The 24736-nt window shown below is 38.3% G+C and overlaps 1 protein-coding gene across 3 annotated transcripts in view, besides 8 other annotated features; it reads right to left on the bottom strand.

The window, feature by feature from the left end:
* Positions 1-18176, bottom strand: part of MDFIC (MyoD family inhibitor domain containing) — a 97824-nt gene extending 79648 nt beyond the window's left edge. For 2 of the 3 annotated variants that reach the window (NM_001166345.3, NM_199072.5), the window contains exons 1-2: positions 17634-18176; positions 17143-17343 (exon numbers count right to left, since the gene is read on the bottom strand). In NM_001166345.3, the coding sequence (NP_001159817.1) occupies positions 17143-17236 (94 nt within the window). In that variant the 5' untranslated portion in view covers positions 17237-17343; positions 17634-18176. Of the gene's footprint in view, positions 1-16604; positions 16812-17142; positions 17344-17633 lie in introns of those variants that run through there. The other variant, NM_001166346.1, reaches the window with a different exon arrangement.
* Positions 8187-8266: an enhancer, noted in NCBI's record as "active region_26524". NCBI's record gives its function as "activates an Ori minimal core promoter by ATAC-STARR-seq in GM12878 lymphoblastoid cells {active_cell/tissue: GM12878}" and the evidence as "EXISTENCE:reporter gene assay evidence [ECO:0000049][PMID:35858748]".
* Positions 8347-8406: a silencer, noted in NCBI's record as "silent region_18552". NCBI's record gives its function as "represses an Ori minimal core promoter by ATAC-STARR-seq in GM12878 lymphoblastoid cells {active_cell/tissue: GM12878}" and the evidence as "EXISTENCE:reporter gene assay evidence [ECO:0000049][PMID:35858748]".
* Positions 9659-10208: an enhancer, noted in NCBI's record as "OCT4-NANOG hESC enhancer chr7:114570117-114570666 (GRCh37/hg19 assembly coordinates)". NCBI's record gives its function as "activates a minimal SCP1, AML or CMV promoter by ChIP-STARR-seq in naive H9 embryonic stem cells {active_cell/tissue: H9 hESC(naive)}" and the evidence as "EXISTENCE:reporter gene assay evidence [ECO:0000049][PMID:30033119]".
* Positions 17157-17296: a silencer, noted in NCBI's record as "silent region_18551". NCBI's record gives its function as "represses an Ori minimal core promoter by ATAC-STARR-seq in GM12878 lymphoblastoid cells {active_cell/tissue: GM12878}" and the evidence as "EXISTENCE:reporter gene assay evidence [ECO:0000049][PMID:35858748]".
* Positions 17527-17706: a silencer, noted in NCBI's record as "silent region_18550". NCBI's record gives its function as "represses an Ori minimal core promoter by ATAC-STARR-seq in GM12878 lymphoblastoid cells {active_cell/tissue: GM12878}" and the evidence as "EXISTENCE:reporter gene assay evidence [ECO:0000049][PMID:35858748]".
* Positions 17717-17766: a silencer, noted in NCBI's record as "silent region_18549". NCBI's record gives its function as "represses an Ori minimal core promoter by ATAC-STARR-seq in GM12878 lymphoblastoid cells {active_cell/tissue: GM12878}" and the evidence as "EXISTENCE:reporter gene assay evidence [ECO:0000049][PMID:35858748]".
* Positions 18097-18236: a silencer, noted in NCBI's record as "silent region_18548". NCBI's record gives its function as "represses an Ori minimal core promoter by ATAC-STARR-seq in GM12878 lymphoblastoid cells {active_cell/tissue: GM12878}" and the evidence as "EXISTENCE:reporter gene assay evidence [ECO:0000049][PMID:35858748]".
* Positions 23878-23967: an enhancer, noted in NCBI's record as "active region_26523". NCBI's record gives its function as "activates an Ori minimal core promoter by ATAC-STARR-seq in GM12878 lymphoblastoid cells {active_cell/tissue: GM12878}" and the evidence as "EXISTENCE:reporter gene assay evidence [ECO:0000049][PMID:35858748]".

Here is a 24736-nt window from a genome sequence, read left to right as displayed (position 1 = left end):
ACCGAGTCCAGAGGCTAAGGTCTCTGAACCAAATGGGGTCTTAACTTCCAAGGATTTTTATAAACAAAACCATATTCAAATAGCAGTAAAATATAAATTGAAAATATGCTAAACCAATATGTTCTAGATTTATGTAACATTTACTCAGCATTATCATAGAGAAATGTAATCTTCATGAGATATGTTAGTTTCAATTAAAATCTTTACTTTTTTAAACAACTCCAGAAATCTTTTTACTGCTACAGTCAACTCAAGGTCATTCTGAGATTATCAATAAAAGAGATTTTTCATGGAAACTCACTAGTAGGCAAGAACTAGCTCATCAGCAGAGTCCTACATACTTGCTGCCATTGTTATGTAGCTGACTGCCGCCAGGTGTCATGCTAGTAGGCTTGATTCAATTAGTAACTTTAATTGAAGCTGAATGAAATTAATTATATAATTTTGAGCTGTTCAAATTTAATTCCATTAAAATTAATTCGTGAAACCAAGGCATTATGAAGCATTGCTGACTAAAAGAAAATAGGTATGAATAAAGCCTCTAGACACACTTGACTCATATTTGAATCATGTCCAATATTCGAGTGCTAAACACAGACCCTCTCAACTCTCCATTGAATAAATGAAAATGCCATGTGGACCATATACACATAGATGCACAACTATATAACCCACTCTAGGCAAAAAATAAAGTTCTTCCTGCTCTAAATTGTTATTAATGGACAATTTATCACATTTTTAAGAAAGTTTCCTTATCTGCAAAATTCTAGAATTAGGTGATTCCCAGTGTCCATCTCAGGTCAAAAAAGAAAAAGACTATCATTCTCTGTATGATTATATTCAATGAATAGTAAATAATATGCAATTACTATTAATTCACTATCCTCAGTCTATTCAACTTTGCTTCTCTTGAAAACTAAATGTCTTGGCTCAAAAGCTGGTCTCAGGGTTTTGCTGTGATCCGCAGCACCCAGCCCAAAGCAAGATTCAGAAAAGGTTCCCAATAAAAAAATTTAAATTGACTTTTGCCAATTCTCCACTTGTATAAACAAAACTTCTGTGACCACTTGACTGTTCTGTGACTTTCTAATATATGCATGTTATTTTATTAATATAGTCTTACTATTTACTCATTTCAATGAGCTACCCATATGGCAGTCTCATAAATGGTGGGCAGTTACATATAACACTGAAGAAATGCTCTGAAGAGGGAGCAGGATTTATTGATAGATAATTGTAAGATGGGGATCATGATATCCAAACATGAAACCAACCTTACTAAAGCTTTCAATTGGTTGAGTCAGCCACTACTCATTACAATAACAAAATGGAAGTTTCTAGTAACCAATTTCTATTATCAGAGTAGGTTTTTCATGTTATTTCTGAAATGAGAAACAAAGAACTCAGCCCTGGTTTAATAAATTTCACTCTGGATAATGGAGGTTTGTAGTTGCAACTCAACTAGTAGGGTAGACCTGAAAGACAACCCATAGACAATCAGTTGATTTCAGTCACATATGAAATCAGTCTGTACCTTTCTATAAGATTTCTATTTACATGTCCAACAGGCATACATTCCCCCCAACCCAAAGTAGCAATTTTCTCTTAAAAGGGGGCCTTCATTATCTCAACAATGCTGTCTTTCTAAGCCAATGGTCCTCTACTTTGGCTCAGGGTTAGAACCGCTGTGCAGCTCTTGAAACATAAAGATGCACAGGCCCAACCTAAGAGATTTCAACTCAAGTGTGTATGGGGCTGGGGCAGTGATGTCATCATGATATATGGCCAGACTTGAGGGGCACTATTCTAAGTGAACTCTTATCTTGTACTACACAACTATTTATATTTAAAAAAAACTTAGGTATATCAAATATTGAGATACAGACTTTGCTACTCATCCCCTTGTCACAGTATTCCAAGTACTAGAAAATAGATTTGTATCTAATCATCTAATTAATATAGAGGTATTTATTTCTGTCTCCATGTAAGGATAACTATTAAGAATACAAAATCTGGCTGGGCATGGTGGCTCACGCCTGTAATCCCAGCACTTGGGAAGGCCGAGGTGGGTGGATCACCTGAGGTCAGGAGTTCGAGACCAGCCTGACCAACATGGTAAAACCCCATCTCTAGTAAATACAAAAAATTATCTGGGCATGGTGGCACATTCCTGCAATCTCAGCCACTTGGGAGGCTGAGGCAGGAGAATTGCTTGAATCCGGGAAGACAGAGGTTGCAGTGAGCCAAGATCACGCCACTGCACTCCAGCCTGGGCAACAAGAGCGAAATCCCATTTAAAAATACATATATATGAAATCTGAATTATATATAATGCTAATCAATTCTACTAATAATGGGATAAAAGAAATATGTTTTAGATATCAAAATAAAAATTTAAGATGCATTAAAAATAGTACTAGATTAAAGGATAGTTGAACACCACTGGCATCTACTTCCAAAGACTAGCTCCTGAGCATCCTAGTATGTTTACTCTGGACAAAGAAGTGAGGAAGAACTACTTTGCTTTGGATGAGGAAAAAGGCGAGGTCCCTGGCAACAAATCCTCTCACTGGGAAGACCAAACACACACACATAAACAATCAAGCAACTGCAAAACAGAAGGTAGTGACAACTGCTCTGTCATAATTCTGGCTCAAAGGCTGACCATCTGTGTGACTGGGACTCATTGTCTTCATCCTCTTCATCAGGAAATGAGAGGGTTGAACTGGATGAATGAAGAAGCCTTTCTGGCTCAAAAATTCTGCAAATCTGATTCTTCACAAGAGCTAAACAATAGAGCCAAACTCTCATATACACAAGGAAGAGTGTTTAGAATGGAGTAGAGGAAATCATAGAAAAGCCATTGTAGGGCATTGGATTTGAATTAATTCTCAAAGAAAGTGACAAACATGAATTGAGCAAGAGAAAATGGAAAAACTAAAGGTTCCAAATGATCAATTTAAATACAATATGTCCTACTCAGAAATGACTATCCATCTTACAGAATCAATACCCTTTATTTTCCTGTTTCTAAAGAAGGGCATGAATGGTAAGAAACAATCTTCTCCAATCTCAATTCTTCCTGGTAAAGGAGAATGAAAAATATTCAGGTAAATAGAATTTCCATTTAATTTAAAATTCTATAATATTTTACCTAGTTGGCATTATCTAAATTTAAAACTTGGTAGTTTTACTTGTCTCCAACAGTTGGGGAATAAAATATTAAGATGGTGATTAGCAAGAGAGAAAAATCTAAGAGCATTAATAATAAATTAGATAATAACATATAAAATATGATATATGCCATATAATAGCCACTCAACTAATATGTTTGTTACATAAGTTTTTAAAAAATAAAAATTTTCTTTGTTGAAAGAATAAATTAATCAATGTTCACAATTACAATATTAATGGTTTTCAAAGGACTTAAATATATAATATTTATTTGATCTTCAGAACCATCAACAATGCAATAAAGAAAAAAACTTAGCTCAGTTTTACTGATGAGAAAACAGTCTCAGAGATAGATATTCAGTTGGAAACAGGATGATAAAATCCTCTGCAGCTCAGCTAGTTTCACATCCCACCCAGTGTAGAAACGTCTATCGCAATACTCAGCCTTTCTCCAAAATTTCAAGGATTGCTACTTCACAAGGGAACAACTTTTATTCTTGGTCAGGTTGGTGCATTAACAAGTTATTCTTTTTTTTTTAAACATAAATCTGCTATCAAGTCATTTATAACTACTCTTAGTTCTGCCCTTTGTAGGTAGAAATGTACACTTTACCTTTTCTATAAGACAACTGTTCAAACTATTGAAGAGGGATATTTTTCCAATAATTTACAATCAAGCAATAATATTATCTCCATAACTGAATGCTTTTAACAAATAATATTATAGTAACAGAAGAACCTGAGAATGTTGCTTCAAATTTCTGTACATGCCACAGTTTTCCAAAAATATTGGGGGCAATATTGCCACTTAAAAGTCCAAATACTTGAAGCCTTCCTGACGAATAAAATGATTCTCATTAGTGTCTCTGGGACAGAAGTACTCTCACCAAGTTTTACTCTGCACTAGAGAAGTGTTTAAAAGCAAAGGATCAAAAATCAGGGTGCCTGGGTCCACCACTAATGATGTGGATCCTGGGCAAGTTAATCTTTGTCAGATTCTTCAACTTTAAATGGGAATAACAACAGTCTCTACCTCGTAAGGTGGATGTGGAAATAAATGAAATCAAGACAGGAAAGCACAGTGTCTGATATAGAATAAGAGCTCATTCACACTGGCAATTATTATTACATTAAGTGTTATTGCAGTAAGCACTTTTTTAAAACACGCTATAAATAAATCATAAGGAGGCTGGTGAGGGCAGTATCCTTTCAGTGATCTCTATATGAAAAACCAGACAATAAGTATGTTTCTAGACTAAATACAAGGAAAAGTATTGTTTCCTCTGAGTAGCTGTATGTTATTTTTTTTCCTTATAGACAACGAAAAGTATATCCCCCAAAAGTTTTCTTTTGAACGCACATCTACATTCAAAATTGAATAACTGTGTTTGACCCCACAGCCTATACCTATATATTCTGATTTCCCCGGACTTGGGTTTCCTAGTCTACTTATATTTACCATTATTCTGTTTTAATCCTTTTTAAAAAGTATTCTTATAAGCCACCTCAAATATTCTACTGAACCAGGCAGAGGTGTGTGTAAACTCACAAACCAAAAAAAAACAAAAAGAAAAATACATTTTCTACTTGTTACCCATACTTTATTTGCTTACTTCAAGAAAGACTAATACAAATTATGTTGATTGGCAGGAATCTTTATAAAACCTCATAAAACTTAATCAGTGTAAAATATAGTCTTATAAAAAGGAGTATAACTAGTTCTCTTTGTGTTTAAATTTTGAGACTTTTGCATGTTAGCTCTCATACACTTCAATTAAATATTTGATAATAATCTATGACAGAGCATTTATAATCTGCATATTATGTATATTGTTATTGGTGATAAGCAATTTGTATTCATACCTCCCTTATGTATAACAAACTTGCTTTAAACAATTTCATATTTACTCTTCCATTAAAAAACCAGCATTATTACAGATGATCGATATGTATTCTAGTTTATGAAATTTCAAGTAATCTGAGACTAAAATCTCTGGGAAAAGTAACAAAAAAAACTAGGTCTGTATTTTCCCAGCAGTTCAGAATAATGTGGAAATTCTGCTAATGTTTCCCAACTGTAACCTTTAAAAAACCAAAGATAAGGCAGCTTTCAGGAAGACCTGAGGCTCTGGAATTTTACTTCTTCACTGATCCAAAAACAAAAAAAACAAAAAAACCCTCAAGCCTAATGACCTTTAAGGAACATTGCAAAACCAACCTACTTTGCCTAACATTCTAAAATGGATTAAAAATGCATTGTCCAAAAATACACATTAAGATAACCAAAGCATTTAAACAGATGAGTGAACATATGCATAAAACTTCAAGATTGTGCAAACACAAGGAAGTTATATAATCATACACTATAAATGTTTGTTGAGTAAATCAAATGCTAAAATCAACGTAATTTAATTCATTGTTATCAGTATTCTGAAAAATAATAAGACTTCTGAGCAAGATCTAAAATATATTCCTTTGAAGGGCTTCTTATGTATTTAGAAGCTTATGGTATATTTAGACCCAAAAGAATGGTGGGAAAATGATACTGACTCAATCACTTTATAGGTTTGGGATAGGTGAAAGGAATGGAGTATGTACACAGCAAATTAGAAAACAAATTACAAAATTATATGAAAATCCAATTGAGTATAAATATGCGAAGGAATAGGTATAAAGTGCAGCAATCATTTAAAATATATCTCAATAAATCAGGGCTCTAAATTCATGAAGGGAGAAGGAAGAATCCTGTACTTCCACTTAAGAAAATAAGTGCTTGGATAACAGCAATCTGATATGAGGAACCAGGACACATCTTAGTCATCTTAGTCTCTTGCACCTTTTTCATCTAAACTTACTGTACCTTACCCCAACAATAAATGTTTAGGATGATTGACCTTGAGGCACAGCAAACTCCTTCCTTCTCACATACAGTTTCAGCTATGTTTATTCAGCCAAACAATATGTTCATACTAAAGCCAAACATTCATAGGCTTATGAAATCTGGAGTTAGATGTGCTCTCACAGGTCCCTCTGAGAAGCTGATAAAATAAATTCAGATGAAAACATTCGACGTCCAACATTCCCAAGAACAGGCCAAGGACTGTAGGTATGAATACTTACAGGGATAGAGAAACAGCCTCAGAAAATAGCTTATTCCACTTTCAGAGTTTTAATTATTCGGACCATCCTCACATTTGGCTAAAATCTACTTCCCTAAAATTTTCACTGATTCATCACATTTTGCTTTTTGCAAAATCAAAGTAAAAAAATCAAAGTCTAATCTTCTCTCCATGTGACAGTGCCATATTAGAAAGTATCTCATGTTCTTCTGTCTTCTCTGTGCTAAATATGCTCAGTTGATTCAGTGGCTTTTCAGAGGCATCACATTCTAATCACTCTTATAGACGCAATAGCCTTCTTAATCTTGTCGAGAAAACTATCATGAAAGAGGTTGTCTGATTGCCAAAATCCAGAGACACCATATCTATAGCAGGTCCCTTAACTGGCAGTCTATTAACTCCATTATAAAAAGGAATGGAGGCTGGGCACAGTGGCTCACACCTGTAATCCCAGCACTTTGAGAGGCCGAGGCAGGTGGATCACAAGGTTCAGAATTCAAGACCAGCCTGACCAACATGGTGAAATCCCTTCTCTACTAAAAATACAAAAATTAGCTGGGCATGGTGGCCCATGCCTGTAATCCCAGCTACTCAGGAGGCTGAAGCAGGAGAATCGCTTGAACCTGGGAGGCGGAGGCTGCAGTGAGCCGAGATCACGCCATTGCACTCCAGCCTGCATGACAGAGTGAGACTCCGTCTCAAAAGGAAAAAAAAAAAAAAAAAGAATGGAACACTCTATCATCTTCCCCTTTTTAAATGATGATTCACACCCATCTTTAGTCTTTCAGCATGATAACTTGCATATGCACCACAGTTTTAAAAACCTTTTTGTTACCTCTCAGTTATACAGAGTTATTTTATGAAGAACATTTTTAGTCTCAAGCTCTCTAGTTAAGCAAAGAACCCTTACTTGGCACTATTACAAGAATGAAGGCTAGTGGAAATCAAAATTGAATCAAAGGGGGTTGTTTAATCTGTAAGAGCATTTCAGAGTTATGCTTTGAGTCTGATATTGAATTAAATAAATAGAGGACAGAGAAGAGCTTTCCAAATAGTGGCAAAGGCACAAATAAGATAATTGTAAGTGAATTTGAAGTATACTGAAATTGAATTCTGGGACTTCAGAATGGTAGATATGAAATTGAAATCAGAAGGTGTGTCATCTGTCAATTTTTGTAAAGGCCCAAATCAGGAACTTATAAACTTCACTAACTCAGCCTCTCAATTTCTGGGTCCTCCCCACCCTTGCTGTAGAGCAATGAGTTCTTCGGATTCTCCTCTAAGACCACAACCTATATTCTTTTGGCTCTACCATCTTTGCAGTCTCATCAACTTCCACAGTTTCAGTAAATTGCAGGGAGATAACTTGTAGATCCATTTTACTAGCCCTGACACCTATCTTGAGCTACAGATTTGAAGTTTTAACTCTACATAAATATATCTTTAGCAACTCAGACTCAACATTTCCCAAAATTCATCACCACTTTTCTTCTCTTCCTGTCTGTTTCTATAACTGTTGTCTGTGTCTTAGCTAATAGTAGTTACAGAATCACCTTCAACTCTTTATTTTCTTTTTATGTCGCCTATTCCAAAATAATCAATTACCAGATCCTGCTAGTAACAACTCCCCAATTTCTCGCAAATCTATAGTTTCTTTTCCACACCCACTACCAGTGCCTCAGTCTCTTTACCCTCCAATCAAAAATACTTTCCTAACACCAAGATCAAATATGTTACTCCTTAGCTGAAGTATGAATTATATCCATTTTGCATATTGGTGAAAAACTGATAGAGTTATTTGAACATAGATATTTTAGAATATTTTATATTGTAAACTCCTATACTTTCCCACGCTTAATAATTTTATCTTGTATCCCCATGAGAAATAAATAGTACAACCCCTCAGATCTTATGTATTGCCTGAGTAATGAAAGAAATAAGAACTATGTTTATAGAAACCCAAAAGCAGCGTCTGCGTTTACAAACACCCGAAAGATCAGGGCGGATTCACCTTGAAAAAGAGTAGGAGGACTATGCCTCGGAGTGGCAAAAGTAAAGAGAGGAAGCTGGTTCCTTCATACTCTGCCACCTAGTTTCAGAGAGCCTGTCACCTGCTCGACCACAAGATACCTTAGTTTCAAGGCTCAACACGGCATAATTCTCACCAAAAAACCCTACAAACGGTATATTCTTCAACTATGGACACTAGCAGTCCAACTTAGACAAAACTGATTCCTTCTCGCCATCCTGAAATCCTCTCTCAACCTCTAAATTTTCCTGCTCCAGGATGATACCAGTTAGTTGGCATCTGGCCATAAATTAATCTGTCACATGGCTATTATTTTAATCTTGAATTGATATTTCAGTAAGAGACTGAAATTTAATTTGGTAAACATTTGTGTCTTATCCTTTCTCATCCTGTTGAGAAATTCATTGTGGGCAAAACTATACATTCTTAATTTTCGCAGGACCTTGTAGGCACACCGAAAAATATTTGTGGGCAGGGTTTTCCCCTTCAAATCTCTCCATAGTAAAATATATGTGCTAGCATAAAAATTAATTTCAGACTTTATTCCTGAAACTACCAAAAATTGGGCATAAAAGCACATGTATATGAATCATCTCACTTGAGATCATGTGGGCGTGAATCTGAAAACAGAAGTAGACTGTAAGTAAAAACCACAAACGAAATTAAATTCATGTTAAAATAACTCTTCTCATAGTTTCTACTTAGCAAACCCTAAGTGATTAGAAGAAGAATCTATAAAATATAACTAGACTTCAAAAACTTAAGGTTAAAAAGCTTTCCTCCTTCAGGACATGTAGGCTAATGTAAAAAGTAGATATTAAAAGTTTAAGTAACTTCAATAAAGTGTTACTGGAAAGACAAAGAGAGAGAGAGAGGGAGGAGGAAAAGGGGACGGAGGGAGAGAGAGAGATCAAGTATCCAAAATACTGGTGCATATACATAGCACTGATTAAGACAGAAGGGCTGCAGCAACTTTCTTTGATCTACTCCAATGAATCACTGAAGTTAAATTGTCCAAAATCTAGAATCTAGTCAGTACAGAATGTATTCTCTTAATAAAAACTGAATGCTTTTAGAAGTAGAAACATAGAAATCACGATTTATCCTCTGCCTTTGTACAGAAAAATATTTACATTGTCTCAGAAAGATAATCTGGTTGAATTTTTTTTTATCTGTTCCATGTGTTGTTGTTCTAAATAACTTTGTATTTGCATATGGCCTAACTTTAGATGGTGTCAATTGATGTTTCCTCATTACTCCCAAACCTTTTATTATTATAGAAACATAATCCAATAAAATAATTGCACACTGTTATTAGGCCTTCTTTCCATGAAATCATCTCAACAAGATCCAGGAAACGAGGTTCAAAGAAACAGGAAAAGCCTTTACACACCCAAAAATTCCACAGCTTCCCTCATAGCCATGTAAAGGTCACTCAATCATATATATTAAATCCTCATATGTGAACTGACCAAACAAAGCAACAGCCACAATTTTTTTTCTCGCCAGAGGTCTTAGCCTGTCAATTGCATTTCTGGTCTCTGGATTCTCTTCCCAGCCTGGAATACAAGACCGGTTAACATAAACACTTCCCACACATGCGTGATATGCATCCCTTGTCACTTGTCATCCTCTCATCACTTCCACCCTGCCAACCTCCAACCCTATGCTAATTGCAAAATCCATTCTGTCTGCTTCCCTTCCCAAGCTCCTGCATGCTCCCTGGCTGAGAAAGACAATCAACCATGCTGATCACTTCCACTAAGAATTCATGCCATTCAGTCCTAGTTAATTTCTTTGTGTTACCCAGCAGGCATTTTATTTGCCCCAGATTGACTATCCCTTTAATTCTTCCCTCTTCCAAATCTTTTCCAGACATCTCAAACTTCTTGATTCATCCTAACCTCCTTTGCTCTCAGAAAATGTTACCATTTACTTTGCTGAGATCTAGGCCCTCAATATTCATTTTCACATCAAATGTTCTCTAGATTATCACCTATCCTTTTCTCCCACCTCCATCTCAAAGAGGAATATTCCCAACTTTCCAAAGACTGGTCCCTTCATCCCATTCCATCCCAGAATTTTTATCTTTCCCTTACAAACACCTACTGCACCACTTCCTCCCTCCTCCATCTCCTTTCATCTTCATTTTCTCTCTAACTTCCGGCTTTCTTCTCATTAGTGCACAGTGAGTGTATTCAATCCACCCATCCAAGCAAGAGAAGTCTTCCATGCACCCTGTTTCTCTTAAACAAACCAAAACTCTTTTCATCTTTTGTATCCACCAAATATCCAATGCTCCTGTGACTAAGAAGACTCAACAGCTCCTCCTAGGTTGCCACTCAGGCTACAAAGCAAACTTATGGATTACCTTAAATTTCTACTTTTCCACCATCTCCCTTATAAAATATTTTACCCAACCACCGGCTAGGCGAGAAAACTATCATTAAAGATGTTGTCTGATTGCCAAAATCCAGAGACACCATATCTATAGCAGGTCCCTTAACTGGCAGTCTATTAACTCCATTATAAAAAGGAATGGAAGCTGGGCACAGTGGCTCAAGCCTGTAATCCCAGAACTTTGGGAGGCTAAGGCAGGGGATCACAAGGTCAAGAGTTCGAGACCAACCTGGCCAATATGGTGAAACCCGTCTCTACTAAAAAATACAAAAAATTAGCCAGGTTTGGTGGCACACGCCTGTAGTCCCAGCTACCCAGGAGGCTGAGGCAGAAGAATCGCTTGAACCCGGGAGGTGGAAGTTGCAGTGAGCCGAGATCATGCCACTACACTCCAGCCTGGGCAACAGGGTAAGAATCCATCTCAAAATATATAGATAGATAGATGATAGATAGATAGATAGATCTATATTTATCTATAGATCTATATCTATATTTATCTATAGATCTATATCTATATTTTTTACCCAACCATATCATTTCATCAAAATGTGGACACTGTGCTTGGTCTCAGGAGTTTCAAAGATGAATAAGTAAAAATCTATTCCCTCAGGGGTTCTCACAGCTGAGTAAAGCTCTATCCTATTTTTGCTATTGTTTTTAAATCAATTTCCTCAATTTTACTCCTACTGGTGCTGCCCTAAGTCCTCTAATCTTTTGTCAGCCTATTATAATCACTGCCTCCACTCTTGCTTCTTCCTCCAAAACCATTCTATGAACTGTCACCAGAACAGTTTTCCTAAAAACACAAGTGGTTCCTGTCCTTTTCTTCTTAAGAGACTTCAGTGGTCACCAACTCCTACAGAAGAGATATGCAAGCTCCTCAGCAAGAGAATCAGGGCCCTCCTGAAACTGACTTTAGGCTATCTTGTTCTCCGACCCTTCATACAGCCCCAACAATGGTCTTGGTGAAGTACCCAATATTCTGTAATCATCTCCCCCAAGCCTTGTTTTCTACCACTTATCTCCACAGAACTGAGTCCTACAACCATGCTATGCTTCCTGGTCCAACTCAAATCAAAACTTTTCTTGAGGCTTTTCCAAATCCCCTACTAGAGATATTTTCTCTCGCCCATGTTCTGCCATCACACTTTCTTTGTGCCTCTACTATGGCACTGATTTCCTTAACATGCCAGCCACAGGCTCAGCATGTACCATGCTATTCCGTAGACCTTTTTTTTTTCACAGTTCTTAAACAGTTCAACCTCTCCAAATGCTTTCTTAAATTTACAGATATATCTTCTTTAACCACTTCCTTCCTCTGTTTTTAGTTTTTTCCCAGTTACATTCTTCTCTTACTCATTTGGTTCTTTTTCTTAACAAAGGGAAAATGAATATGCCCAGCTGATAAGCCCTCCACTTGTATAACTAAAATCATAAAATGTACATTAGTTCCTTTAGGCATAAAAAGTTAGAAGTATAAGTTCTAAGATTCATTTTCTAAATTCAAAATGTTCCCAAATCCTCTTTCAAATCTACATGCCCTTCTATATTTTTCTAATTAAGCTTGTCCTTCCTCAAGCATCTGTATTCAAAAAGTGTTTTAAACCAATTTCTATTCAGTTTAATTTTATTCTTGGTTATTTGTATTTGCTGCCAGTTTTATAATAGTATGTTTTCTGTGAGTTACCATTAAAAGCACACAAAATTTAATAAAACTTAATTCTAACAATCTTTTGACTTTTATTAGGGAACTAAATATAATTTATCCCTCTGTTTCTATGAGAAAGTAGAATCCAGGCTCTAAAAGTCCAATTTACAATGGAACACAACTCATGTGAAAACTGGAGATTTCTTTCCTTGTTTTGCCATATGTTGGAGTCTCCAAAGTGTAGGGTAGCAAGAATATCTACTGAAATAGTGAAATAAAGTATTAAAATTCTATTTATTTAGTCTCTCATCCTTATTAATTTTTACTTTTGCATTTCTTTTATATTGTTAAAAATATATTTGTATTATAGTGCATATAATTATGAAAATAAATAAGCTTTTTTGAGGATGACTATGCAGCAGTATTTTGAGGATGAATTGAAGCGTATGACAAAAAATCTTAGAGAGGATTATTAGAGAGTTTACATGGAGTGATAACAATTTAAATTTTGGAACTTGAAAAGGTGAACTTTTAAAAAGCTTTCTGAAGTCTTTCCCTCCAAAAAAAAAAAAAAGGACTGTTTTTAAAAGTCTATCACTATAACATATCCTTTTAGAGATTAAAGCCCATAAAACAATGATTCTCAACTAGAGTTAAGGAGCACCTGGAGCTTGATTAAAATGCAGATTCTTGGCTCTTACATCCAGAGATCCTAATTCTATAAGTCTGGGATGAAACCAAAAACGTCAGTTGCCTCAAGGATAGCAGTTTCTCAATCTCAACATTACTGGTGATTCTTTCTTGTAAAGGTTGTCCTATCCTATGCATTACAAAATGTTCAGGAGTGTCCCTGATCTCCACTCACTAGATGCTAGTAGCACCCCCATTACGACCACCAAACATGCCTGTAGATATTGCCAAATGTGTCCTGAAGAGCAAAATTGTCCCCAGTAGAGAACCAGGATTAGAAGCTGTTCAAAGATGACACATTTTGTGAAATGCCATCCTTAATCAAAAGGATAAAATAATATGATAAAAATAGAAGAATACAGATATGTACAAGTATACATTATATACATTGAAATAAACTGGCTTCCCAAAAAGAAAATCTGATTAGCCTCTATAAACTACTGACAACTCAGCTAAGCTTCTAAATCAAAGCTCTTCTTATGTAATTTCAACTTGATTTTCTCCCCAGCTTCTATTTTAGATTATTTTTAATTAACTTCACTGGCATTTTGCATCCTGCTAAGAAAAGTCCGCCTAATAGTCTCAAGAGGACTCTCCCAAGAGAGAAGAGTGCATTAAATCACACATTATCACATTAAAATATATTCTAGCACTCAGAGTCCAACGATCTACGTCTTGACAAATGCAATGTCTTGGGGGGTTGGGGGAAAGATACAGGGATGGGAACAAGCTCAAGTGATTCACAATATCCCAAGCCTATTGTCAATGCATCCAGCCCTATAAAAAAGTTGAACTGATTCTCTACTTCAACTGCATTTATCACAATGACATACAATTTATGTTATAATTTGTGCTTCTACCCTGATTTCTTGCTACTGACTGTGTATGAGACCTTGGGCAAGTCACTTAAATTCTTTGGACATCCTTTCCCTTATTTAAAAAATGAGCGGGTTGGATTAAATTATTTCTAAAGACCCCTCTAGTTACAAATCCCATACTTATGAAAGAAGCACTTAATTCAAAGGCTCTTTGGATTATAGGAGTTCTAGTAACTATTGCACCAAAGGGCAAATACTTACATTTTCAATGTGGTTCCATAACACGAATTTTAAAATGTTTAATCAAACCAGGACAAATGGCAATTACAGGGACCACACAAACAAGATCCATTATCTCTTAAAATAAAGTATAACTGAAATGGCTTTTCACCTATCAAGACATGTATACAAGTACTTTGCATGAGAAAGTAAATCAATATTTCACAAGGTAGTAACAAATAAGAATATAGCTTTAAATTACATGTTTACTTTCTATTTTCTGTATGAGAGATCACAAATTAGCTGCTCAGAGGCCATATCCAGCCTACAGTTGTGGTTGTTTTGTTTGGCCTGCACAAAATTGGTGTTTAATTAGTTGCAAACTCTTAAAAATGGAGAGATGATACATAAAAATCTGGATTTCCAGTATCACTTGAAATATCTGAAGATACTAACCCACATGGCAACAATTAGCTAAAACTGAGGAATGTTGTTTCCTGGCCCATGAGCTCTCCAGTTCCCCAAAATCCCCATTGCTCCATACTGTCTGACATCTATCCTGGTTCCCTCTTACAGCCTGGAGCATGTAAGCTTATGTCCCTGCTCTGTAACTATTTTCAAAACACATGGGAAAGATTTGTAATGCTTTTTAATGCTTTCAAAACAATAGAAAGCCTTGCAGAACCACAACAAAAAGGTAGAAACTTTAAGGAGGAAGAGTATGCTCTTAATATGGACAACCTTTCTAATTCTTAATGCTAATACTAGAATGGGCTTCACTACAGGTTTTTAACAAAACACCTAAAAGGATGTAGAATTGAATTTTAGACTTGATGTGGAGTTCAGATTAGAGAATCCCCAAAATTACTTTCAACTGTAATGTTTCATGCCTTTGGTTAACAGTATGGATAGCTCATCACAATATAGTATAGTAATAAATGTAGAGCTTGTAATGTCATTATTTACCTATATATATATATTTAACTTTGCAGGGGTAGACTTGATCATATCCTTCATGTTCCTGAAATAATATTTTTTTCTGTTAATTTGTATTTAAAATTCCACTTTTCTTACTGACTTTAATATAAAGAATTTAAAAATTAGGTTTCTGTTAACTAAGCAGCCATATCCTACCGTAGAATTATTAAGCTATTCTTCAGAAAGGATGATAAAGAATCCAAGGACAGAAGCAAGAGGATAAAAGAACTTGAGAAAAGGCTTAAGAGTAGAGTGGCCTTCGAGCAAAGCTTCTTCACAAATGTCTTTATCAATAAAACCAACCTAACCAAGCTTCCCTTGAAGCTTTCCTCTAACCATTTGCTCCAAGAATTTCTTTCTTTAAATACACCTTATGACATCTGCCTGTTTAAGACATCATATTTTAACAAGATTCTGCAGACTCTCTTTTTAAAAATCAACTTTATATTTAAATTAAACTGATCCCTATTTAAAGAAAGTTTTGGATCAAAGTTAAACTAATAATAATAAAAATGTATAACTATGTTGCTAAAGCTAAGGCAATTTTCAGGTAAAATATAACCCAAGAGTTTCTACACTGATAACGTGTGTTGTACCCAACAAATGTACTTCAGGCCACTCTAGATTTTCGGGTTCTTAAGTTCAGATCACATGACACCATCCAGCATCCTAATGCACAGGTACATTAAGTACCACTGCACATTCTCCCAGATGATTTTAGAAATGCAAACTATTAAAGTTGGATATTGTAGATATTAGCTATTTCCAGGTCAAATTATTTTCCTTGGGTGTTTGATGTTGATTTTTGACATAAGCCTGGTTTAACAATTGTGATTAGCAGCTCAAGTGTGAGCATAAACAGCCCATCAATGAGTCGATATGACTACTAAGGGCATGCCTAATGACAGGAAAATGATTGTGCTGACAATACAAGGTGGAGAACACGGGCTGCTTCTCAGAAAACATATGTTTATCATTCTAGTTCTCTGATTTTCTGCAGTTAATCATTTTTATTTTCTGTTTAGAAAGCTGAGTCACTCATTTAGAGGCAAAAAATAATGATAAATGTAATTCAGTTTAACAGCCCTGGGTGCCAGAACATTTTAATTTAACCAAGATGTTTTCTGCTTTTACCTATTGCAGCTTGAAAGTTAACTCCTTCTCCAATTTTTGCTGCCTTAAAAAAAATCCCTAAGATTCACTACATTAGTACAAGTGGGAAATAAAGCTATCAGTTTATGCCTAAAATCAGGGGTATATGCTAGGTTTTTGAGCACTGGAAAAATTACTTAGTTCTGATATATCAGTGACAGAATTCTTTAGCTCAAAACCATCCTTAGAGTAAAATGCATTAGAAGTTTAAGAACCTTCCTCTCTGTCACCAATGGAAACCTAAAGTATATTGCCTTCAAGAGAAGAAAGGTTCAACTCGTTTAGAAGCTTGTTATGGAAGTTTCCCAGACACAAGAGTATTTTATAGGCTGTGTGTGTTTACACTTTGGAAGAACACAAAGAAGCTAATTCATTCTTGGAAAGTGTTTCTTATAAACCTTGTTTATTTATTTCAAAACAAACCAGTTATTGAAAACAAGCATAAGCCATTCCAAAGCTACTGGTCACAGAAACCTGAATTATCAACCGGGTGGTAGAGGAGCCAACAAGAAACAGAAAGATGAAATGGAGTAAGTGCACGCTTGTTCAGAGAGCTGCGGCAGTCCTGGATCTGCTGAAGAGACCTAGAGGAGAAGCGCTTCAGAACCTACACATTGAGTCTTAGGCCCAAACATGCATATGCTTAAGAAAGAAGCAATCCTGTCATCCTGTTTCTTCGCAACCAAAGGAAGGGGGAGTGGAGGGACCAACGGTTCCCGCCCTCTTACCCGGTTGTTGATCTAGGGCAAGGATCCTGAAGAACTTGCCTGAGTAACGCGAACTGTGCAAAAGTTCTCAACTACGAGTGGGAGCCCCTCCTCACAGCACTCCCCCCACCCCTATCTGTGCACTTGTGAGCAAACTGAAAAATGCAACAATGACAAAGAAGCTTGCCACTTGCAAGCGCGCACTCACCCTGGGCTGTGGAGCCCAGCTGGCCGCCGCCCGCCTCGGCCACGCGCTGCGGCCCCACGGGCCCGGGAGCGAGGGCTTCGCCCGCGCCGGACATGGGCCGCTCCGCCGAGCCCGCGCCGCGCCGCTGCCGCCTAGCTCGCCGCCCGGCAGGGCGCACGGAGGAAGGGCTGTGAGGTGCTGGGTGCAGGGAACTGACTGCTTCTGGCGGAAAAATATACAAAATTAAAAAAAAAAATGTTTTTAGAGAAGAGCACACCACCCCTGCGGGACGTTCCCTCCCCCTCCACTTCCCTCCCTCAAACTCCACCCCGGGGAAGTTTTGATTTGAAACTTGCGAAGAAAACTGTTACAGCGCAAGTTGACAGCGGCGGGGTCCCAGGGGTCCGAGGTGGACCCAGCGGGGAGGGGCTGGAAAGAGAGATCGGGTTTGGGAGAACCCCGGGGATGGGGATCAAACCCCTCCTCTTCCCCGCCCGGAGACCACTACCTACCTCCGCATCCCCCCGTAGTCGCTCCAAGCCCCTTCCTCCTCCTCCTCCTCCTCTTCCGCCCCGGAAAGTTAGCGAGCCTCCGGCAGCGGCCGCATTTTCGCCCCGGTGGCCTGACGACGGCGGCGGCCGCCCCTGCGCGTCCTCCCGCCTCCCTCCGGCTCAGCCCAGACGCCGCAGTGGCGGCAACTGCGGCAGCGGTGGCGGCTCTGACTCCGCGCACTCCGCCCCCTCTTTCCAGCCAGCTCACTCCAGCCGGCTCCCCTGCGAGGGGGCCTTCCCCCTCTCTGCCTCTCTTTCCCCTCTTCCACTCCTACAATCCTGAAACACTTCTCCCTCTGTTGCTCTTTTTCATCACATCCGGATCGGGAAGGCCTCGAACTCTTGGCTAGCGGCCCCGATGCTGGGAGCGGCGCGACCCGGGCTCGGCCGCGCGATCCCTCGCGCCCTGCGCTGTCTGGGTCAGGAGGCCAGAGCCGGCCTGGGCTGGCTCGGGCTCCCCACCCGGGCGCTGCGCCCTCCCGGGGCTGGGAAAGGGGAGTGAATGGGCAGGTCCCTGGCTGCCCAGACGTTCCCCCCACCCCGCCCAAAAAGTCACCTCATCCCTTCTCCCTACTCCTGCCCCCAGACCGACGGAGGCTTTGGGAATATCCTGACGAAAACCTTTAGGGTGGACAAGGAAAAACGAAAACACTGTTACAGTATCGAACTTTCCTGGTGGGATAGAGAACGTGTGCGTTTGAAACCTTGACCCCTCGGTTGAACGTTTACTCACTTCATCTCTGGCTCCTAAATTACTCTTTGGTCAAACAGTATTCCTGATGTAAAACCAGTTGCAGTTTGCGCGAATCTGCTGGAGGCATCCAGGCAAACAAGGTTGGCACCCTTGCGGATGCCGTGGTACTGGCCCCAGCCTGGCCTATGGCAAGCTAAATGCCTCACTGGATCAGTGGTATCTGAGGGGAGATAAACTTGTGGTCGGAAGTAAAAAGCTGATCAACTTTCCGTTTATAAATGAGACATTCTGATTGTAGCTTAATCTGATGAGCCGAGGATAGCAAGTGTAAAGTAATTTACAGATATATAGTACTTTAGTGGTATACTCAGATAACTTTTGCTCTTTTATTTCATTGTGAATGAAATGCAGAATTCATTTGTAGAAAGCTAGAACGAACTCATTCTTCGATTCTTTTGGACAAGCGAGGAATCACAGTAACGTTATCAAAACTGAAGAAAATGTGCATTGGATTCACTGTCTTTCTATGTGCATCATTAATAATATCCCAGAAATTTCATTTTTTCAAAAAGCTCATTGGAATTTATTCCAATTGATTACAAAGATTTACTTGTTACCTATGAAGAGACAGTGCATTCTAACTTGATTTCAATGATGGTAAAAAAGCCAGCCTTCGGCCGGGAGCGGTGGCTCACGCCTGTAATCCCAGCACTTTGGGAGGCCGAGGCAGGTGGATCACCTGAGGTCAAGAGTTCGAGACCAGCCTGGCCAACATGGTGAAACCCAATCTCTACTAAAAATACAAATATTAGCTGAGCATTGTGGCGGGCGCCAGTAATTCTAGCTACTGGGAGGCTGAAGCAGGAGAATCGCTTGAACACAGGAGGCAAAGGTTGCAGTGAGAAGAAATTGTGCCATTGCACTCCAGCCTGGGCGACAAGAGCAAGACTCCATTTAAAAAAAAAAAAAAAAAAAAAAAAACAGCCTTCAAAGTTGCTGATGACAGTCATTCAGACCATTCTCCCCAAAAAGACAAATGACATTTTGCCCCATTACACATAACTAACATTTTTTTTTCACTTGGAGATTTCAGAAATGGTATGAAATCAAGTGCATTACCTCTCTTGAAAACTTATCTAGGAGCCTGGACTGTTTGGAATTTGTCTGATGGAAGCAGATCAGTTCTGAAGATGACTTCATCACCACTAGAGAACAAACATTTAGGACGTCTCAGAGTTCACTGCAGCATCATCTGCACTCAAAGGAGTTGTTTACCTGCTCTGGAAAATTCTGTTTTATCCCTGTATCATTCCTTGCCCTATTTTTAAAATTCTCTCACAAAGATGTTAAAGTCCAATAATATAAAGAAGTTACAGCTTTCTTCTAGAAAGTCATAATCAATGATAAGTATTTGTTCATTTAATTTCACACAGTCCTTAATATTGCACACGTGGTGGGTGATTCCATAGATATTCCTTAAATTAAATTTTAAAATCTTTAATGGAGAAGACATAAAATTAAAATAACATTAGGAGCAAATGAGAAGCTGTAGGGTAGCATCACCAAGGTTGTCAAATACTGTACCTCATTCAGCTGTGTGACTTTGGACAGTTAGTCACCCACTCTATACCTTGGTTGCCTCATAATATGAGAATGAAATTCTTCATAGAGTTTCTTTTTGAGCACTAAGTAAGGTAGTTTTCCTATAAAATTTGGAAGACTCTCAAGGGAAAAGGTGTTCAAAAGTATCAACTATTATTACTATTATACACGGAAGCATCTTGATGGGTAAAGCTGAGCATGGCATAATGACTGTATCAAAAGGGTCATATCAAAATACCAGTTTGTCATGCCATGCACCTGACGCAAATGATCTCAATGAATTCTTCCATCGGCCCTATAAGTAAATTGCCAGGATTGTACCTTCAGGATTAGAACTCAGGTCTGTCTCTCTTCCAGGCTATCCTGCATCCCTAGGTAACTCAGGTCTTCCTTCTGGAGGACCTAGAAGTGGTCTTAATGCCATTAACCTGGTGTCTGATATGCCAGAAGTTAAGTGTGGGCTCCTGAGTGTCCCTCACGCCTCCCATTTCCCACATCCCTGGCTGCACTTGCTTGTTCTGATTGCTTCATTTGTTTACTGACAAGCACTCCAGTACGTTCATCTCTCATTCTTTCACTCAGTGTCACGAACTGAAAGTTTGTGTTTCCCCAAAATTCATATGCTAAAATCTTAGCCCCTAATGTCATGGTGTTAGTAAGTGGGGCCTTTGGGAGGTAGTTAGGTCATAAGAGTGGAGCCCTCATGAATGGAATTAATGTCCTTACAAAAAGACACAAGAGGCCAGGTGTGGTGGCTCACACTGAGGCAGGGAGATCTTTTGAGGCCAGCACTCTAGGACCAGCCTGGGCAACATAGAAAGACCCCATCTCTACAAAATTGTTTTTAAAAAATTAGCAGGGCATAGTGGCATACTCCTGTAGCCAGCCACTCTAGAGGCTGAAGCGGGAGGATCACTTAATCCCAAGAGTTGGAGGTTACTGTGAGCTATGTGGGCCACTGCACTCCAGCTTCGGCAACAGAGCAAGACCCTGTCTCTTAAAAAAAAAAAAAAAAAAAAAAAGACATACAAGTGTTTCCCAAGGCTCCACCTTTTAATACCATCACCTTGGTGATTAAGATTCAACATATGAATGTTGGGGGACTACAAACATTCAGACTATAGCAGGGGGAGACATATTTTCTAAATTACTGTTTATAAAAGCCACTCTGGTATTATGCGTAAAATTGTTTGGAGGACTGAGAGTGGATCTAGGGAGTCCAATTTGGAGGCCAGGGCTGATGGCTGGCAGAAGGAATGGAGCCAAGTAGATAGGGATAAAGGATGAGGAAGCTAGAGGAATCGAGAGCAACTACCAGCTTTCTGCATCCAGGTTGATGGTGGTGGTATGACCTACAGAGATGAAAACATTCAGGAGAGGCCAGTTTTGGGGAAAGCTGCTGAGCTAATCATGCAAATGATGCAGCATGTGTGAGACAGCTAATTGGAACTGTCCTGCATAGGCTGCTGGACATGGGACTGGATTATAAGCATATACATGGTACTTTGCTGACTAGCAGGTTATAAGAATGTCCAAGGCAAGTGTGCAGAGTAAAAGCAGAAGCCCTGAGACGCAGCTGTGCCTTGGAACTCAATCCACGTGTATCCTTACTGGCCTCTCTCCTTTTCTCCACATCCTTCCCAGTGACATAATACCATTATCAGCTTGGCTTGGAGAACCACTACTGTTTAAGTACTACTACTGTCAGTGTCCCACTTGCTACCCCAGATCCCCCTGGGTTGTCTTTATTAAGCTAGATTTTGCCATGTCTTAAGCTATCTTAATCTGCGTAGGTGGAAATTCTTTAGGGGTATCAGCCTGCCGGTGGAACTCAATGTCCTAGCCCCGGATCAAAGCCCCTTGCCTTTGAAATTCTTGTGTGCCTTACAACCATTCCTGCCTAGTGATGTGTACACTAATGATGATATAATAATATGTGAACACATTGTGAAAGAGGTCTGACATGAGCTAAGCAAATAAAATAAAGAACTAATTAAAAGAGTTTATAAAGCATCCTTATGGACTACTTAATCTTCATCATTCATTCATTAAACATTCATCAAACATTTATTGTGCATCTACTATATGCTAGGCCACATATTAGGCTCTGGAGATAAAGAAATTTGATTTGATGTCTTGAAAAGCAGCTAAATTAGTTTTCACTTGGGCAGAGGCTTATTTGCCTAGTAAAGTCAAAATTAATCCCCATACACAGATATCTAAACCAGAGGTCTACAACTGGGGTGTGTAATTGTAAGGGCATTCCAAGGGATGCATAAGACAATCTACTGAAATGTGGGCAGAAAATATCAGAGTGAGCATTTATATATGTTTTTATGTTATAATTTTTAATTTCTACTTTTGAGTATGTTTTTATACAGTGTATTGCACATTCTTACAAAAGTACTTGGGTATGATTTATAAGTAAACATACATTAAAGGTTCACATTCAAATACTTTGTTTCTTTGTTTAGAAAAAAAACTTTTTAAATGCTTTGAATCCTTTAAGGAGTCATTCCCAGATTATATCAAGGATAGTTTTTCTGGAAAATATATTTACCTAATTTATGTTAGAAGCAGCACTTTGGCAATCCCCAAACCCAATGACCTAGAAACCAGGAAATAACAGCAACATACTAAATACCTAAAATAACCTTCATGATGTTCAGAAACTGCCAACACAAAAGACATAATCCTTCTCAAATCCTACTTGTTCTTTTGTGAATACACACCTCTAATCAAACTTTATTTTCTACTGTTTCAGCTCACATTGTTTTAGAAGAAGAAAACTTAGGGCGCAGGAAGATTGAGGAGAAGGGATTAGCTAAGGGAGCTATTAGGTCAGAAAAACTGACAGCAGGAGAGATGACAGCTGACAGACAAGGAAGATACAGGAAAATAAACATGTTGTAACAACGCCTTTGTGAATTCAGCTTCGTGAAATAGTCAATGTTCCTAATGAGCCTGAGTCATTAAGGAAAGAGTCAGTTAGTTATGTGAGTGCTATATTCTGTTTTTAGGGGGTCGGGTCAATCTTTTTACATTCCAGGAAAAACTCTTTCAAACATGTTCAAAAATTCCTTTAAAAAAAGGTTGCTACTTGAAAGAGTAAATTCCACAGAATGACAATTTTACAGCTGCAAGGGAAATTAGCAATCACAATTCCAGGCCAAGCTGTATGGATCGCATTCCTCCACCTCCTAGTACTGTGTCAGGTGCAATCAGGTGCAGGGAAGGTCAGGTGCGCAGGTTTCTGGAACCCTGCTCTTAGAGTAGAGCACTTTCTTCCTTTTCTCCATAATGTATTAGTCCTTCTCTTAAATTTTAACTGAAACAACTGGTTCTTCCGCTTTTTAAAAGTTTAAAAATCACCAGTCTTACCCAACTCCTTCATTTAACATATAGAAAAATACAAAGACATAAAGTTTACTTACTAGGTTCAACAAACATATGTTGAACATTTACTACATGTCAAACCACATGCCAGACACTAGAGTTTCAAGTATAGAAGAAATACTGTTTTAGTCTTCTGGGAGTTCATAGTCTATAAGGCCAGAGGCAGAAGAAGGCAGCAATGTAGCAGCAGAACAGTCACAAACACTTACCATACTGCAGGAGCAAAAAGGAAGTAGCACTTACCTAACTCAGCTCAGGCGTAGGTGGGGAGAGTCAGGGTACATTTCAGAAAGACGATAATACCAAACTGAGTATTGTCGATGAGTAAATTTGCCTGTCAAAGAAGTTAGGGAATTCCAGATGGAAATAACACTTACAAAGACAAAGAAATGTGAAAGCCCCAGAGAAGTTAAATGACTTGGCAAAGGTCAGTTCGTGGATTAATTACAGAGCCAGTCTTAGGAGCCTAAATTTCTTGTCATCCAGGCTTCTTGCTCCAGCTATCTGGATAATGCACGTAAATGAATCCATCATTTCTAAGTGATGGCGAAGTAAGGTCATGCCTGTTGTTATATTTTGAAGTTCCAAAGATTTTCTGTTGTGAATGGGTAACCAAAGAACCAGGCATAAAATCTCTTGTTGCTGAATTAGTCCTCTCCAAGGTCTCAGTTAGTGTCCCTTTCAGTTGGCTGACTTCTCTGGCCTGGGGCACTGGCCTTCAGGGTCTCTCCTTGCTGTCACTGTACTTTCCTTCTTGTGTTTTAAAGGAAGGGAGGGAGATGTTAAGGCATACAGTGGTACTTGTCAGATAAAAGCAACATGACTGAAGACAGAAATGAAAATGGCCATAACATATGCAGTAGACAATAAGTAGACATTTGCTTCATACTTAGAAACTGAACCTAGATATACCAGGAGAATGAAAATTGTGGAAAATTTTAAATACAAGGAGCTCCTGAAAATAATGACTGATCTGCTGAAACTGCAGTTGAAAATAATGTTAGCATGATGATCATGACAAAAATGTTTAAAATGGTGTAGAAGATGAGGATTCTTTTGTTACTATAACCCCTAAACTCATTTAAATTCTCAGATAAAGAAAGAAAATATCAACTGTGACATTTGAATCAGTGCCCGTATTTCTCCAAATTTTGTATTAAGAAATACATGCTAAATCTAAAAAGCAGGATTGCAACAAAACTACAGTCATGAGCAATATAACAATGTTTCAATCAACAATGGATGGCATATATGACAGTGGTCCCATAAGATTGTAACAGAGCTGCCTTATGCAGGCATACCGTTTTTTATCTTTTACGCCATATTTTTACTCTACCTTTTTTTTTTGTTTAGATATACAGATACTTACCAT

The sequence above is a fragment of the Homo sapiens genome, chromosome 7, assembly GCF_000001405.40.
Source record: "Homo sapiens chromosome 7, GRCh38.p14 Primary Assembly".
Lineage (NCBI taxonomy): Eukaryota > Metazoa > Chordata > Mammalia > Primates > Hominidae > Homo > Homo sapiens.
Note: the sequence above shows the minus strand (reverse complement) of the source record. Positions and strands in the feature narration are given on the sequence as shown.